At 40.0% G+C, this 15,921-nt stretch overlaps 1 protein-coding gene across 21 annotated transcripts in view; it reads left to right on the top strand.

The window, feature by feature from the left end:
- Nucleotides 1-15,921, top strand: part of SLC2A9 (solute carrier family 2 member 9) — a 269,246-nt gene that overhangs the window by 209,774 nt on the left and 43,551 nt on the right. For 8 of the 21 annotated variants that reach the window (XM_047415973.1, XM_017008457.3, XM_006713968.5 and 5 more), the window contains one exon: nucleotides 3,897-4,077. The exons of 10 other annotated variants lie outside the window; for them this stretch is intronic. In XM_047415973.1, the coding sequence (XP_047271929.1) occupies nucleotides 3,897-4,077 (181 nt within the window). Of the gene's footprint in view, nucleotides 1-3,896; nucleotides 4,274-15,921 lie in introns of those variants that run through there. 3 more of the 21 variants (NM_001001290.2, XM_047415975.1, NM_020041.3) reach the window with 1 other exon arrangement.

Here is a 15,921-nt window from a genome sequence, read left to right as displayed (position 1 = left end):
GGATGTGCAGGTTTGTTACACAAGTAAACACATGCCGTGGTGGTTTGCTACACAGATCAACCAATCACCTAGGTATTAATATTAAACCCAGAGTCCATTAGCTATTCTTCCTAACACTCTCCCTCCACCACAACCCCCTGATAGGCCCCAGTATTGTTCCCCTCAATGTGTCCATGTGTTCTCGTTGTTCAGCTCCCACTTATAAGTGAGAACATGCAGTGTTTGGTTTTCTGTTCCTGTGTTAGTTTTCTGAGGGTAACAGCTTCCAGCTCCATCCATGTCACTGCAAAGGACTTGATCTCATTCCTTTTTATGGCTACATAGTATTCCATGGTGTATATGTGCCACATTTTCTTTATCCAGTCTATCGTTGATGCACATTTGGGTTGATTCCATATCTTTGCTGTTGTGAATAGTGCTGCAATAAATATACACATGCATGTATCTTTATAATACAATGATTTACATTCCTTTGGGTAGATACCCAGTAATGGGATTGCTGAGACAAATGGCATTTCTGTCTCTAGGTCTTTGAGGAATCACCATGCTGTTTTTCACAATGATTGAACTAATTTAAACTCCCACCAACAATGTAGAAGCATTCCTTTTTCTCCGCAAGCTCGCCAGCATCTGTTGTTTCTTGACTTTTTAATAATCGCCATTTTGACTGGTATGAGATGGTATCTCATTGTGGTTTTGATTTGCCTTTCTCTAATGATCAGTGATGTTGAGCTTTTTTTCATATGTTTTTTGGCCATATGAATGTCTTCTTTTGAGAAGCATCTGTGTGTGTCCTTTGCCCACTTTTTAATGAGGTTGTTTTTTCTTGTAAATTTGTTTAAGTTCCTTATGAACTCTGGATATTAGACCTCTGTCAGATGGATAGATTGCAAAAACTTTCTCTCATTGTGTAGGTTGTATGTTCACTATGATGATAGTTTCTTTTGCAGTGGAGAAGCTCTTTAGTTTAATTAGATCCCATTCGTCAATTTTTGCTTTTGTTGCTCTTCTTTTTTTTTTTTTTTGACATTTTTGTCATGAAATCTTTGCCCGTGACTATGTCCCGAATGGTATTGCCTAGATTTTCTTCTAGGGTTTTTATAGTTTTGGGTTTTACATTTAAGTCTTTAAGCATCTTGAGTTAATTTTTGTATAAGGTGTAAGGAGGGGGTCCAGTTTTAATCTTTACCTCAGTCTCTCAAGTAGCTGGGATAACAGGCGACTGCCACCACGCCTAGCTAATTTTTGTAATTTTAGTAGAGATGGGGTTTCACAATGTTGGCCGGGCTGGTCCTGAACTTCTGACCTCAAGTGATCCACCCACCTCAGCCTCCCAAAGTGCTGGGATTACAGGTGTGAGCTACTGTGCTCGGCTGAGCCACATGTTCTTGACTGAATTTTGTGAAACTGTGAGAATAATCCTCACGACACCCATCAGGTCCCTTGGGAAAAGAAAGCCAAGCAAGAGGCAGCTGTGTGGGTGTCAGAGAGGTCCTAGGAAGCCCTGTTTGTGGCCTGGGATACGGCAGGAAGCCTCTCTGAGCCTCAGTCCATCCATCCACTCACTAAGATACTCAGAGCATCTACTGTATATCAGAGACTCTCCGGGCTCTGGGAATACAAGAAAAATGATGACTCCTGCCTTCAGATAGTTACCTCTTGGTAGGGAGAAGGTTAATAAACAGGCAGTTGCACACTATAATGCTGCATAGTGATGAGTGTTTTTGAAGGCAATGAAGCAGGGCTGGGAGGGGCTATTTCAAAATGAGAGTCAACGAGAACCTCTCTGAGAAAATGACCTTTAAGTCGGATGAAGAGGAGTAAGAAAGCAGGATATACAGAGGCCTAAACGAAGATTATTCCAGCAAGAGAGAACAGCATGTGCAAAGATTCTGAGGCCTAATACTGGAGGGAAATCATAAAGGCAGTGGAGTTGGGGCAAAGAAAGTGAGGAGAGTAAGATCAGAGAAATAAGAGGGACACATGGTCGGTGGCCTTGGAGGCCATGGTGAGGACTTTGGCTTTCCTGCAGGTGACTTAGGAAGTCATGGTGGGTTTTGAGCAGAGGAGTGACAAGTTTTGTCCTTTGTTTAACAGGATCACTCTGGCTTGTCTGTTAAGAATAATCTTAAGATTATGCTTAAAGTGAAAAGCAGGGAAATCAGTTGACAAGCTATTGCAAAAATCCAAGCAAAACATGATGGTGGCTTGCACCAAAATTAGGTTACAATAGAAGTGATGACAAACCCTCAGATTTGGAATACATTTCAAGGTGGAGCAACATGATTTCCTGATGGAGCAGATGTGGGTGGGAGAGAGAGAGAGAAGCTCAGCCTGCCTCCAAGTGTTTTTGTTGGCATAATCAATCAGAAGGATGGAGGTGCCATCAGCAGAGATGAGGAAGGCTAGAGCAGGCAGTTTTAGAGGCTCCACTTTGGACTTGATAAGTCAGATGTCCATTCCGCCTGCAGATGGGGGTGTGGAGGATGTTGAATGCAAAATTGATATATCTCATTTCATCTTCAAAACAATGTGTGGGTATATATCACCATGTTGCAAATGAGGAAACAGATGCTCAGTGGATTGAAATTCTATCTTAAATGGCACATCATAAGTGTTAGAACAACATGTGAGTAATGGGATCAGGATTTGAATCCCACTCGACTGGCTTCAGAGCCCATACTCTCCCCCTTCTCCACACTACTCTTGAAGTCTTTGTACGAGCAGAAGGCACAGTCTCAAGAGCTAAGCACCCCCAGGTGTGGAACATTTACTGCATGTGGCACTTTAAAGGGAATGTCTCATTTAATTCATACAACAACCCTACATGTACCATGATTATCCTCTTTTTCAATCATGGAAACTGAGGGACAAAGAGTCTCAGATTTAGTAAATGGTAGATCTAGGATGTGATCCAGGGATCAAGCTTAAGCACTTTGCCATTCTCCAAAAATAAATGTTTGTCAAATCAAAGAATAGAATGGAATTGACTAAAATCTGGATATTGCTTCTTGGGAAATATTATTCAAAGACAGTGTCACCTTATCTTTGGATCAGTAGATGTTTGTTGCATATAATAGTCACAATCCTGACAGCTGGGACCCAGAAAGTCTTTTATTTCTGGAATGGTGGCTCATGCCTATAATCCCAGTACCTGGGAGACCAAAGCAAGCAGATTGATTGAGGCTAGGATTTCAAGTCTTTTATTCCACAAATATGTCCTGAGTACCTCCTATAAGGCACAGGAGCTACAGAGGTGACTGAGTCACTGAGAAGCTCAAGGTCTAGTGCAGTTGGCAGGGTTATTCTAGTCCAAACACTAATCAGGATACATAAAACGGAGTGATTGCATTGAGCATTTCTATTTTTTCTGATCTCTCTTATTTGTGCAAGGCCGCCTCAGAGTATCAATTAGTGAGTTAGATCATTTGCATATTAGAAAAAACTGGCATTACCTTGGCCTATTCTGTGCTCCACATTCTTCCTATGAACTAAGGCATTTCTCTTCCCTTTTGATGTCATTCTTGTCTCATGTGTATAGTAGAAGCAAGAAGACAATGTGGTTAATTGTAAATATAAGCTTAAGCTAATATTCAGCAAGCATTCCATTTTGCTTTCGTGATGATTAATTTTTAAATGCCAAATTTGCAACAACAACAACAAAAAAGTGCCATTTTCTCATCTTTCCCAGAGTTTGAAGCTGATTTATTCAAGCCTTATGTGATAACACTTCATGTAGGGTACACTTGCCTTATTGAGCCAGCATCACACATGGTGTTTTGTCTAGGAGTATTGGTATATGAATGTGGAGCTATCTTAAAAATCTGTGTAGAGATGGTTTAACAGCAAGTTTACTGATTATCTATTTGAGGGTTTTTGTCTCTGCCTTTCCACAGAAAAGTCTGGACACCTACTGTTTCCTAGTCTTTGCTACAATTTGTATCACAGGTGCTATCTACCTGTATTTTGTGCTGCCTGAGACCAAAAACAGAACCTATGCAGAAATCAGCCAGGCATTTTCCAAAAGGAACAAAGCATACCCACCAGAAGAGAAAATCGACTCAGCTGTCACTGATGGTAAGATAAATGGAAGGCCTTAACAAGTTTCCTCCTCCACGTTGGACAATTATGTCAAAAACAGGATTGTCTACATGGATGATCTCACTTTTCAGGAAACTTAAAATTTACCCATTATTGGGAAGCTTAAATGAATTGAAGCTATGCAAGTCTTTTATATTATTAAATATTTAAAAGTAAACCTGTACTAATCTAACATTGCAACTGTGTTAGCATTATTCACAACTGAATCTCCCAAACCCTTCTGGAAGCTGCAAGGAATCACTCTATGTTTCAGTAGACCCAGCGTTCTTCTATATAGGTAGATGACCTGCCTTCTTCATGACTCAACCCATGATTTCAAAATGAAATTGGGGAAATAGTAGGTTAATGCTTTATCAAAGAAAAATCAATTTGGTCTGATAGGGGACTCAACGGATTAGAGATCACAGACTGAGGTTCTAGTCCCAGCTTTACCACAAGCAGCCTTGACCTGCCCTCAACCTGGATCCCAGTGCCTCAATGACCCTAGGCTTCCATCCCTGATATAGGCTTTCAGAAGTCAGTGGAAAGATTATTCATAGTGCCTAAGAAATGCCTGTTTCCAATATTTGACCTTGTGGATCTCAGGCTTTGGAGAGCCTAATACCAACACACCAGCCTGCAGATTTTGTCTTTCCCAAACTGTGTTCCAGGAATGGGCTCAAAACTTCAGGGCTGACGCTGTCCTCACCCCAGACTATTAGAGTCCTGTGTGCTCACAGAGAACATGAAGAAGAGCAATGTGTAGAAGACTTAACTTTCTCATAACTGCAGCAGGGACTGAAAATTGACCTCCATCCAAATGAAAAATAATGTTGAGGATGATTCTAAAGCTAAACCTAGGCTTGGTGGGAAAAAAAAAAAACATTGTGATTAATTGGTGATCTCTGCCACAAGTGTGGGGCTCAGAGTGTCAGCACATGTACCTCATGTTTACCAAGTCTAGAAGAGATTTCTCTGAAAAGGTAATGAGCTGTCTTGAAAAATGGGGAGTTCACCATCACTCAAAGTGCTCAAGGGAAGACTGGGTGATTACTCATCTTGACTGTTGCTAAGAAAATCTGTGTCAACTTTGGAGGAAGGTGTTTGGAATAGATATGTTGAGGGGCTCTTCTAACTCTTACATGCTAAAGTTGTTTGAGTAAGATCTACTTACAGCCTGCCATCGTAATGTGTGGCTTGTGGTTTGGGCGATTTCCTATACTTGCTTCTAAAATGAAAAAACGTGTCCTAAAGTAAAGTAAAGTGCACTTGAATTAGCACCAGTGTGTTTGAATTTGGTATCTCATAGGAGTGGGGCCAGAGAGGACTTGACTTAGCAATACCACTAGAATCCTTTTGGCCATAATCCCTTGGGTTTGCTCAGATCATTCTTGACCATGGCAGCCTTAGGCAAAATTTGAGTTCAGTTTTCCTTTTCTGTGGAGTATTCTTTCATCACTGGGCCACTCCTTTGGTTAATTGCCAACTCAATGCACTATGCCATCCAGCTTTGGGTTGGCTGAAAAATTTGGACAGTGTTTGTCAAGACGAAGAGAAAGTGAGGTGTGGGTTCCAAAAGTGCCTGAGACCAAAAGAGCCAAAGACAGTGTAAAATAAAAGTCTTAGCTTTTTGGTGTTCTCTTTTATTTGGAGACTTGAGAATTTAGGCAATAAATATTTATTAGGTACCTATCATAGACAAGGCACTAGCTACATACTAAAGATGTATCAGTAAGCAAGAAAATATACTGCCCTCACCTGCAAAAGCCCATGTCTACCAGAGAAGATAGAAAATCAAAGCATTAACTGTAAAGTTGTCATCAGTACTGTACTTTATAGTACAGTAAATTGTCATCAATACAGTGATATAGAAACATGCCACAGGGATGACTGGGGTGAGAGGTGAGAATCAGGAAAACCTTCCCAAATAAGTGACAGAAATAGAATGGGGAACACTATGACTGTCAGGCAATAGGCCAGGAATTATTCTTACATGTTATTTTATTTGAAAAGCTCATAGAGCCATTTCTCACTCCATTTTCTACTGCTTATAACAGAATACCTGAAACTGGGTAATTTATAGACAAACAAACTTTTTTTTTTTTTTACTGTTCTGGAGGCTGTAGAGTTCAATGTCAGGGGGACATCTGACGAGTGCCTTCTTACTGGTGGGGCCTCTTGCCGTCCTGAGGCGGCAAAGGGAATCACATGGTGAGGCGGCTAAGTTTGTTCACTGGGGTCTCTCTTCTCTTTATAAAACCACCAGTCCCACTCCCATGATGACCCATTCATTCATTCACTCATTAATCCATTAATTCATGAGGGCTCTCATGACCCAACTACCTTTTAAAGACTCTGCCTCTCAATACTGCCGCATTGGGGATTAAATTTCAACATGACTTTTAGAGGGGACATTCAAACCACAGCAGCCACATTAAGGAAATTTTTGAAAAATAAAACAATAAGACACCCATAATCTCATATCCTTCACTCCCCCAACATAAGCAATTTAATTTTTAGACAGCTCTGTACATTTCTTGCTTATTATTCATCCAGTTGGAATCACAGAATACATGAAACACAATTACAATCTTCTTGTCTCTTATCTTCTATTTTTTCCACTTTGTATTAAATCAAATGCATCATCTCAATTCCAAACCCTTTTGTTTATACTCTGATATTTACTCCAGTGAATTCTTCATGTATAAAGTTGTTTTTCACAGCCACACACTTGTACCACAAATCTAGGGGGTATTCTTTCTTTTAGTGTCCTTAATATTGTATTACTTTCTAATATTCACACTTTAACTTTACAAATGAGTAGAATGGAATAGCTGTGTTTCAGTACAGAACTTTTTTCTTATGTTTGCTTGGGCCTTCCTCCTCTCTGTTACCTAAGTTGATAATCTAGGATTTGTTGTCTCACATTTTTCCCGATGTTCATATGATATTCAATGAAATAAAATACATGTGACACAAAAAAAAGTTGTTTTCCAGATACCCAAATATAATGGGGAGTGGCGAGTTAGAGAGACAGACATTTTCATGAGCTTTGCTTCACAGGCTCTGGTTCTTGGCTGAAAGGTACCAGCCGCTTACAGCACCCTGTATCCATTCACAGACCCTAAAAGAATCTCTAGTCAAATTAACAGGTCTCCTTTCCTAATTCCTGACCAGGAGTTGGGGATTAGGCCCTTGTCTTACTATTTTACATATTCTCTCACCTCCAAGCCATGGAGGTTTATATTTCTTCTTTTCAGGTTCGCTAAAAGTAACTCTTCCAGCTGCTAGTTCTGGCTAAGTAAGCACACTCCACCCTATTTCTCCCACTGATCATAACTAGCAACCCTGGGCAGAATCGTAATGAAAACATGTAAGGACTCTGAAAAATAAATTATATCAGGCAAATTGAAGAGAGAAACCAAAACCCAAAGTATAGTTAATATGGCAGTGAGTATCTCCTGGCTTATACTCCAGGACAGGGCAGTTTTAGAAACTGTGCAATGGACATGGACTGAAAAAGCTGCAGGAGACATCTCCTGCCTCGATCCCTTCCCAGAGTGACAGGAAAGGGGTGGCCCTTGGGGGAAAAAAATGTGATCAAACTGATGAAAATCAAATATAAAGGAAAAAATCTTGAAAGTCACCTTAGAAAATCAAAGCATTACACAGAGTGGAAAATGATTTGCATGACTTTAGATTTCTCATCAGAAACCAAATAAGCCAGAAGAGACTGGAACAATATCTCAGTATTTTTTTAAACACTGAAAGAACTGTCAATCCAGTTTGAATTTTTTGAAGGCCCATCTATATGCTATGTGCAAGAAGCCCACTGTAAACATAATGATATAGATAGGTTAAAAGTAAAAGAGTGAGAAAATATATAGTACGCAAATGCAAATCAAAAGAAAGCTGGCATATTAATAGTAGAAAAAGTAGATTTTGAAACAAGAGGAATTACCCATGATAAAGAGGAGATTATGTAGTTATAAATGGGTCAATTGAGCTAGAAAGCTCTCAAATAATTAATATAAAATTTCACCTTAAGAAACTAGAAAAATAAAAGCAAACTATTCAAAAAGCAAACACAGGGAAGAAAATAATAAAGATAAGAATAAAAATATATGAAATCCAAAATGGAAATATATCAAAAACAGGACAAGATAAGAAAATCGATGAAACCAAAAATTGGTTCTTTGGAAAGATCAATACAATTGATAAACCTCTATCCAGGCTAACCAAAAGAAGGAGTATGGAAGAAGTGATGTTGGGGAGATGGAGGGAGAAAAAGAGAGGATAAGAGAGATAGGACACAACTTGCCAAGAGCAGTAATGAAAGAGGCAATATCCCTACAGACCCTACAGATATTAGAAGGGTAATAAGGAAATGCTGTTAATAACCCTGCCTGTAAATTCAACAACTTTAAATGAAATAGATAAATTTTCAAAAGACACTATCAAAAGTCACTCAAGAAAAAATAGATAACCTGAATAGTCCCATATTCACTTAAATAAGCAGAATTCTTAGCTAAAACTTTCCAACAAAGGAAATTCCAGGTCCACATGGTTTCAGTGGAAAATTCTACCAAATACTGAGGGAAAATATCTACACAATTTATCCCAGAAAATTCAAAAGGGAGAAATGCTTCCTAACTCATTTTATGAAACTAACACAAACCTGATACCAAAATAATACAAGAAAACAGTACAAGAAAATAAAACTGCAGACCAATATTTGTCATAAACAAAGGCACACAATTTCTTTTTTTAGATATACTTTAAGTTCTGGGGTACATGTGCAGAGCATGCAGGTTTGTTACATAGGTATACACGTGCCATGGTGGTTTGCTGCACCCATCAACCTGTCATCTACATTAGATATTTCTCCTAATGCTCTCCCTCCTCTTGCCCCCCAGCCCCTGACAGGCCCCGGTGTGTGATGTTCCCCTCCCTGTGTCCACGTGTTCTCATTGTTCAATTCGCACTTATGAATAAGAACATACAGTGTTTCGTTTTCTGTTCCTGTGTTAGTTTGCTGAGATTGATGGATTCCAGCTTCATCCATCCAAAGGCACACAATTCCTTATCAAATATTAGCAAGTTAAATCAACAATTTTTATAAAAAGGATAATACACCACAACAAGGTAGAGAAATGCAAAACTGTTTCAATATTCCAAAATCAGTCAATTTAATCCCCCATATTAACTGACTGAGGGGAAAAGAACATATGATTATATCAATAGATACAGGGGAAACATTTGATGAAATTCAACATCCCTCTATGTTCAAAACACTTACCAAACCAGGAATTGAAAAAAGCTGCCTTAACCTGAAATAGAGTATCTACAAAAAAGATACAGCTAGCATCATATTTAGTGGCGCAAAACTAAATGCTTTTCCCCTAAGATCAGGAACAAAGTAAAGATATTTTCTATCACTGCCTCTATTCACTATCATACTGGAAGTTCAAGTCAGTGTAACAAGGTGAGAAAAATAAATAAAAGGTGTACAGATTGAAAAGCAAAACATTAAAAATAAAACTGTTTCTATTCACACACATTATTGTTTACATATTAAATCTCAAAGAATCTACCTGAACTAAAAAGTTAACAAGGTTACAGAATAGAAGTTCAACACACAAATATTCATTGTATTTCTCTGTACTAGCAATGAACAATTAAAAACTAAAACATAAAAAAGTTGCTCTTCATAATAGTTCCCAAAACAAGAAATACTTGGTTAAATATCTAACAAAACATATTTACGTTCTTTAGTTTTCTGCCGAAAACTACAAAACACTGATGAAATAAGTCAAAGAACGAATAAATGGAAAGATACACTGTGTTCACTGAATGAATGACTTTACTAAAGTTAAAAGGTCAATCTTCTTCCATTTATCTATAGATTTACCACAATCTCAATCAAAATCCCAAAAGAAATTTTATAGAAATTAACAAGCTTATTCTAAAATGTATACGAATGGCAAAACAGTTTTTTAAACAAAGAATAAAGTTAAAAGACTCATACTACCCGATTTTAAGATTTATTATAATTCTACAGCAATCAGGACACTACAATATTGGTGAAAGTATAGACACAAAGATCAGTGGAATAAAATGGAGCATCCAGAAATAGACCCACACAAAAATGATCAATTGAATTTTGACAAAAATGCAAAGGCATTATCTTTTCTACAATGGTTCTGAAATAGTTTAAGAAAATAAACTCCAACCTATATCTCACTCCTTAAAAATGAATTCAAAATGAATTCAAAATGAATCATAACCCTAAATATAATACATAAAATTAGAAAAAGTTTAGAAAAAAACTTAGGAGAAATTCTTGTTAAATTTAAGCAAAGACTTTAGGATATAACACCAAAACACAATCCATAAAAGAAAATTCGGTAAATTATACTTCATTGAAATTTAAAACCTTGTTCTTTGAAAGATACTGGGGGTTTTTGTTGTTGTTGTTGTTTTGAGACGGAGTCTCGCTCTGTCACCCAGGCTGGAGTGCAGTGGTGTGATCTCGGCTCACCACAACTTCTGCCTCCCGGGTTCAAGCGATTCTCCTGCCACAGCCTCCCAAGTAGCTAGGATTACAGGCACGCATCACTGCACCCAGCTGATTGTTGTACTATTAGTGGAAATGGGGTTTCACCATGTTAGCCAGGCTGGTCTTGAATGCCTGACTGCAGGTGGTCTGCACGCCTTGGCCTCCCAAAGTGCTGGGATTACAGGCATGAGCCACCACACCGGGCCAAAAGATACTGTTAAAAGAATGAAAAGACAAGCTACAGGCTGGGATAAAAATATGTTCACATATTTTTCTCACACACATATCCACCAAAGAACTTGTATCAAAAATACATGAAGAGCATTCAAAACTCAACAATGAGAAAACAACTCAAAAGCTGGGCAAAAGCTATGAACAGGCACAAGGTATACAAATGGCAAATAAGCATGAAGAAAGGTGGTTCATGATTAGTTATTTGGGAAATCAGAATTAAAATTACAATGAGATATCCCAAACCTATTGGAATGGCTAAAATAAAAAATCCTCATAGTACCAAGTGTTGGCAAGAATTTGGAGCAGTGGGAACTCCAATAGATGGCTGGTGGGAATGAAAAACAGAAACAGCCAGTGGAGTAGCAGAGTGGTGATCAAAATATTGTTTCTGTTACTGACTGAAGCTGTACTGGAGAAAACATCTTAGCCATATTTCCTAATATTGAACTCCTGAGCTGACTGTACCCATCAAGACCTGTATACTTTTTTTTTTTTTTTTTTTTTTTTGAGACAGTCTCGCTCTGTTGCCCAGGCTGGAGCGCAATGGTGCAATCTTGGCTCACTGCCAGCTCCACCTCCCAGGTTCACGCCATTCTGCCTCAGTCTCCCGAGTTGCTGGGACTACAGGCACCTGCCACCACACCTGGCTCATTTTTTGTATTTTTAGTAGAGACGGGGTTTCACTGTGTTAGCCAGGATGGTCTCGATCTCCTGACCTTGTGATCCACCCGCCCCAGCCTCCCAAAGTGCTGGGATTACAGGCATGAGCCACCGCACCCAGCCCAAGACCTGTATACTTTTCACCTGCCCCCATCCCACACACACTCACAAGGGCTAGACCATCCCTGGATGGAGGAACAGAGACTGTGTCAATGCTGTGGCAAGCAATTCCCAGGACAAAGAAAATAATAATCGTGACAGGGACTTCCTCCTTGACCAAACTCTAGTCCAGCTCCTCTGAGCACTCTTCCCCACTAGGCCTTGGCCTTGGCCAGCAGCCCCAGTGTTAGCGAGAATTCTGCTAAGCCAGTTTAGTGAAAACCCCCTGTCCCTGGATCATAACCAAAGTTCTCTCAGTAATTTTCCATCCACTGACTCCCTCACCCTGCTCCTTACTATAAATCCCCAGCTGGCCATGTTGTAATCAGAGTTGAGTAGTTGAGTTCAAGCTGTCTCCGCTATTGCAATAGTCTTGACAGCTACTGCAATAGTTTTGAATAAAGTTCCCCTTACCTGTTTCAGTCTGTCCAGTGAAATTTTTCTTCGACAATACTCACAGCTCTATACTTTATCCAAACAAAAACTTGAGCCAGAAGATTAGTCCTCCTTGCTTGGGGGAGGAGTGAGTAAAAAGGGCAGAAGTTCCTGTTTAACAGATCCAGGAAGAAATAAGAGGACATAATGGTTGGCCCCATACAGCGTGTCAGATGGAGATGAAAGTCTTGCAAAGGACACCCGCTCAGCATGGCTAGGGTCATCCACGACCCAGCATCCATCTCTGGAGTGCAGACAATAAAAGGAACTGAAGATGCTGGGCCTCCGACAAGGAGGTGACTAGTGAACCTATAATCCTCAACCCCAATTTGTCTTACAGTTTGGGAAACTATAAGTAATGTAGCACTGGAAGGCAGTCACTCAAAACAGTGCCTAGCCACGTACTCACTGGTCAATCCAAGAATGCGGCACAATTGCCCTGCCAAACACCAGCAAACAGGAGGGACAGACAAAGCCAGTGATTGGTCGAGCTTGGCCTCTGGCAGCAGGGATTGTCTGCTGCTCTTGCAGAACAGGATGGAGTCACCCATGGCTTCCAGAGAGATTAGGGGGCTGAGATTATGAAGACTCAAGTTTGGTAGGGCAAAAAATCTCCCTGCTTTTTATTGTTTAATAAGACTGAGAATTAGGAGAGTTGCATGGAGAGTTAGGAGTGTTCCCTTATAATGAAGTCCCATTCATTTAGCAAAAGGACTCGGAGTGGACATTACATGAACAAAAAATGTTTCTAAAACACGTTTTAAACATTTGCAGTAACGAGGACACTCATACAAATGTGACTATGTGAGTGGATGTGTTTGTGCATGTATGTTAAGCATATGAAACATTCCTCTTCTATTATTGCATATGTTGACCCATTCTGGGCTGGATCAGTGGTGCTCATCTAGAAAAATGAAGAACTGCTTCAGGAGGGCAGGAGTCTTGTCTGTTTGATTCTCCACTGTATTCAGCCAACATAGTACCTGGCACATACGTAGAAGGTGCCTGACAAACATTGATTGAATGAATGAGTTAATGAATGGGTAGTATATCAGGCAGCATCATGGCCCCTTCAAAGATGTCCAGGGCGTAATCCTAAGAACCTTCGAGTATGTTAACTTACAGGGCAAATGGGGCTTGGCTGATGTGATTAAAGTAAGGATCTTGAGTTTGGGTCATTAACGTGGATGACTGGGTAAACCCAATGTCCTCATAAGGACACAAAGGTCCTTATAAAAGGGAGGTGGCAGAGTCAGAGTCAGAAAGGAAGTGATACTAGAAGAAGAGATGAGAGAGAGAGAAAAAGATTTGAAGATGCTGCACTGCTGGCCTTGAAGACGGAGGAAGGGGTCATGAGCCAAGGATAGCAGGCAGCTTGTAGAAGCTGGAAAAGGAAAAGAAATGTATTATCCCCTAAAGATTCCAAGGTGTTGCGTCTCTATGAACACTTTGATTTTAGGATTTTTGATCCCCAGAACTGTAAGATAATAAATTTTTGTTGTTTTAAGCCACTAAGAGGGTGTATGTGCGTGTCATCGTTTTTTTTTTAATTTTTAACTTTTTGTGTTGAAATACTTTCACACTTACAGAAAACTTATGAAAAGAGAAAATCACCCAGATTTCCATTTTTTCAGCTACATTGAAGTATAATCAACTGAGTCACAAGGGCTAGACATTTAAGATGTAGAACTCGTATATCTGAAATTGCATACATCTAAGATGTAGAACTCAATGTTTTGATATTAGTATATGTTATGAAACCATCACCACAATCAAGCTAATTAACATATCATCACCTCATGTATTTACCATTTTCCTTTCTTTTTATGTGTGGTGAGAACACTTAAAATCTACCCTCTTGGCAAATTTCAGGTATACAGTACCTGAAACTGTAGTCACCATGCTGTTCATGAGATCTCCAGAACTTATTCATGCTGCATAACTGAAACTTTGTACCCTTTGACTATCATCTTTCCATTTCTCCCCTTCCCTCATCTCCTGAAAACCACCGTTCTCCTCTCTGTCGAGCCATAAGTTTTTAGAAATTAGTTACAGCAGCAGCAGAAAACTATTACAGACAGCCTAGAGCAGTTGTCTCCAGAGCAGGTAATGAGTGAGCAGAGCACAAGATGCTTTATTGTGATGTGAGAAGAAAATGTTAGAAATTCTATTTATTTATTTATTTATTTATTTATGTTTTGAGACAGGGTCTTGCTCTGTTACCCAGGCTGGAGTGCAGTGGTGCAATTTCAGCTCACTGCAGCCTCTGCCTTCCAGGCTCAAGTGATCCTTCTGCCTCAGCCTCCTGAGTAGCTGGGATTACAGGCGTGTGCCACCATGCCCGGCTAATTTTTGTATTTTTAGTAGAGATGGAGTTTCACCATATTGGCCAGGCTGGTCTCAAACTCCTGACCTCAAGTGATCCACCTGCCTCGGCCTCCCAAAATGCTGGGATTACAGGCGTGAACTACCGTGCCCGGCCTCATTTTTTATTTTAAAGTAAATATTATTGGATTTTATTTTACATGATTCAAACACTGTCCTAACCCAGACTAGCCATTACCTTGCTTAGACACCTTGGCTGCTGCTCTTTATAGACATTTTGAAGGACTTCAAAACTCTGAAGGATTCTCTTCCTTCAGAATCCCAAGATGGCTGACTTTTAATCCCACACATGTAACACCTTTTACTTTCTTTCTAGTCCATCATAGGAACCAGAAAATTTGCCTTTGTTGGAGGGAGGAACAAATGAAGCATGCAAATGTAGTGACAGGCTCACCGGCCACCCTCCTTAATCCATGAAACTGAAGGCCACACCCTAACGGCACAGGCCAGGGAACTTTAAGGATCTTGGGTCTGGACTTCATGGAGCAGAGCTTCTGTAACAGCTGTGATCTGCCTACCTCTGCCCTGTGCTTGTGACCGTCAAAACTTCTGTCTAGTTTAAGCTACTCTTACTTGGGTTTCCCTTACTCATGAATAAACCTAAACTCAATCCATGCAGGTTATGACAGGAAAGGGCACAAGGCAAATGAGAATATGTGAAGTCAGCCCAATTCTTTAGACACTTGACAAGTTGTATCTGTGGGGCGCAGGTGCCTCCAGGTTAAAGGAGCACGGATTCCTAGTCTTGGATTCTCTAGTCACAGCAGCTTTGCTGGAGTTCTGGTGCTTTCCCTGGTGCTGGCGTGGGCTTTCCACCTAGCAGTGCTCATTTATCTTCAAGTTTGCATAAATATTTTCACACTATTGTGTATGATGCTGGAGACAACCCATGAAGTAAATATCATTGGGTTATTTTCTGTGATTCAAACCCTCTTCTTCCAGTTTCCAATCCAGTCAAGTTTAGTGTTCCTATCACTACACCACAGGACCTCTCTGTCTCCAGAGTGATGACTCTGATCTGTTTCCCTACCTGCATGTACCACATACATTTGTTAATCCTTTTCACCGTGGCACTTTGACATCTAGTAACCTTGTGGTCTTGGTGGACTGTGCCCCCCAGTACATGCCTACGTGTAATCCTCTACTGCATTGTCTCTTAGCCGTGCAACTTTCTTTTACCACTGAGACATCAGAAAATGCGATACAAGCAGAAGTTGATAAACACCTTTGCTCTAGCGCTTTCTCTCAGAATGCTGATGTCATCACATGAGGAAGCCCAATCCAGCCTTCTTGAGCATGAAAGACCACATAAAGGGAGAGTCCAGGTGTCTCCACTGTCCCACCTAAGCTCAGATCCAAGTGACCCTCCAGTCAAATACAAGTGAGCCCAGGAGGAAGTAACAGAAGAA

This window comes from Homo sapiens, chromosome 4 (genome assembly GCF_000001405.40).
Source record: "Homo sapiens chromosome 4, GRCh38.p14 Primary Assembly".
Classification (NCBI taxonomy): domain Eukaryota; kingdom Metazoa; phylum Chordata; class Mammalia; order Primates; family Hominidae; genus Homo; species Homo sapiens.
This window is presented reverse-complemented; position numbering and strand designations above follow the sequence as displayed.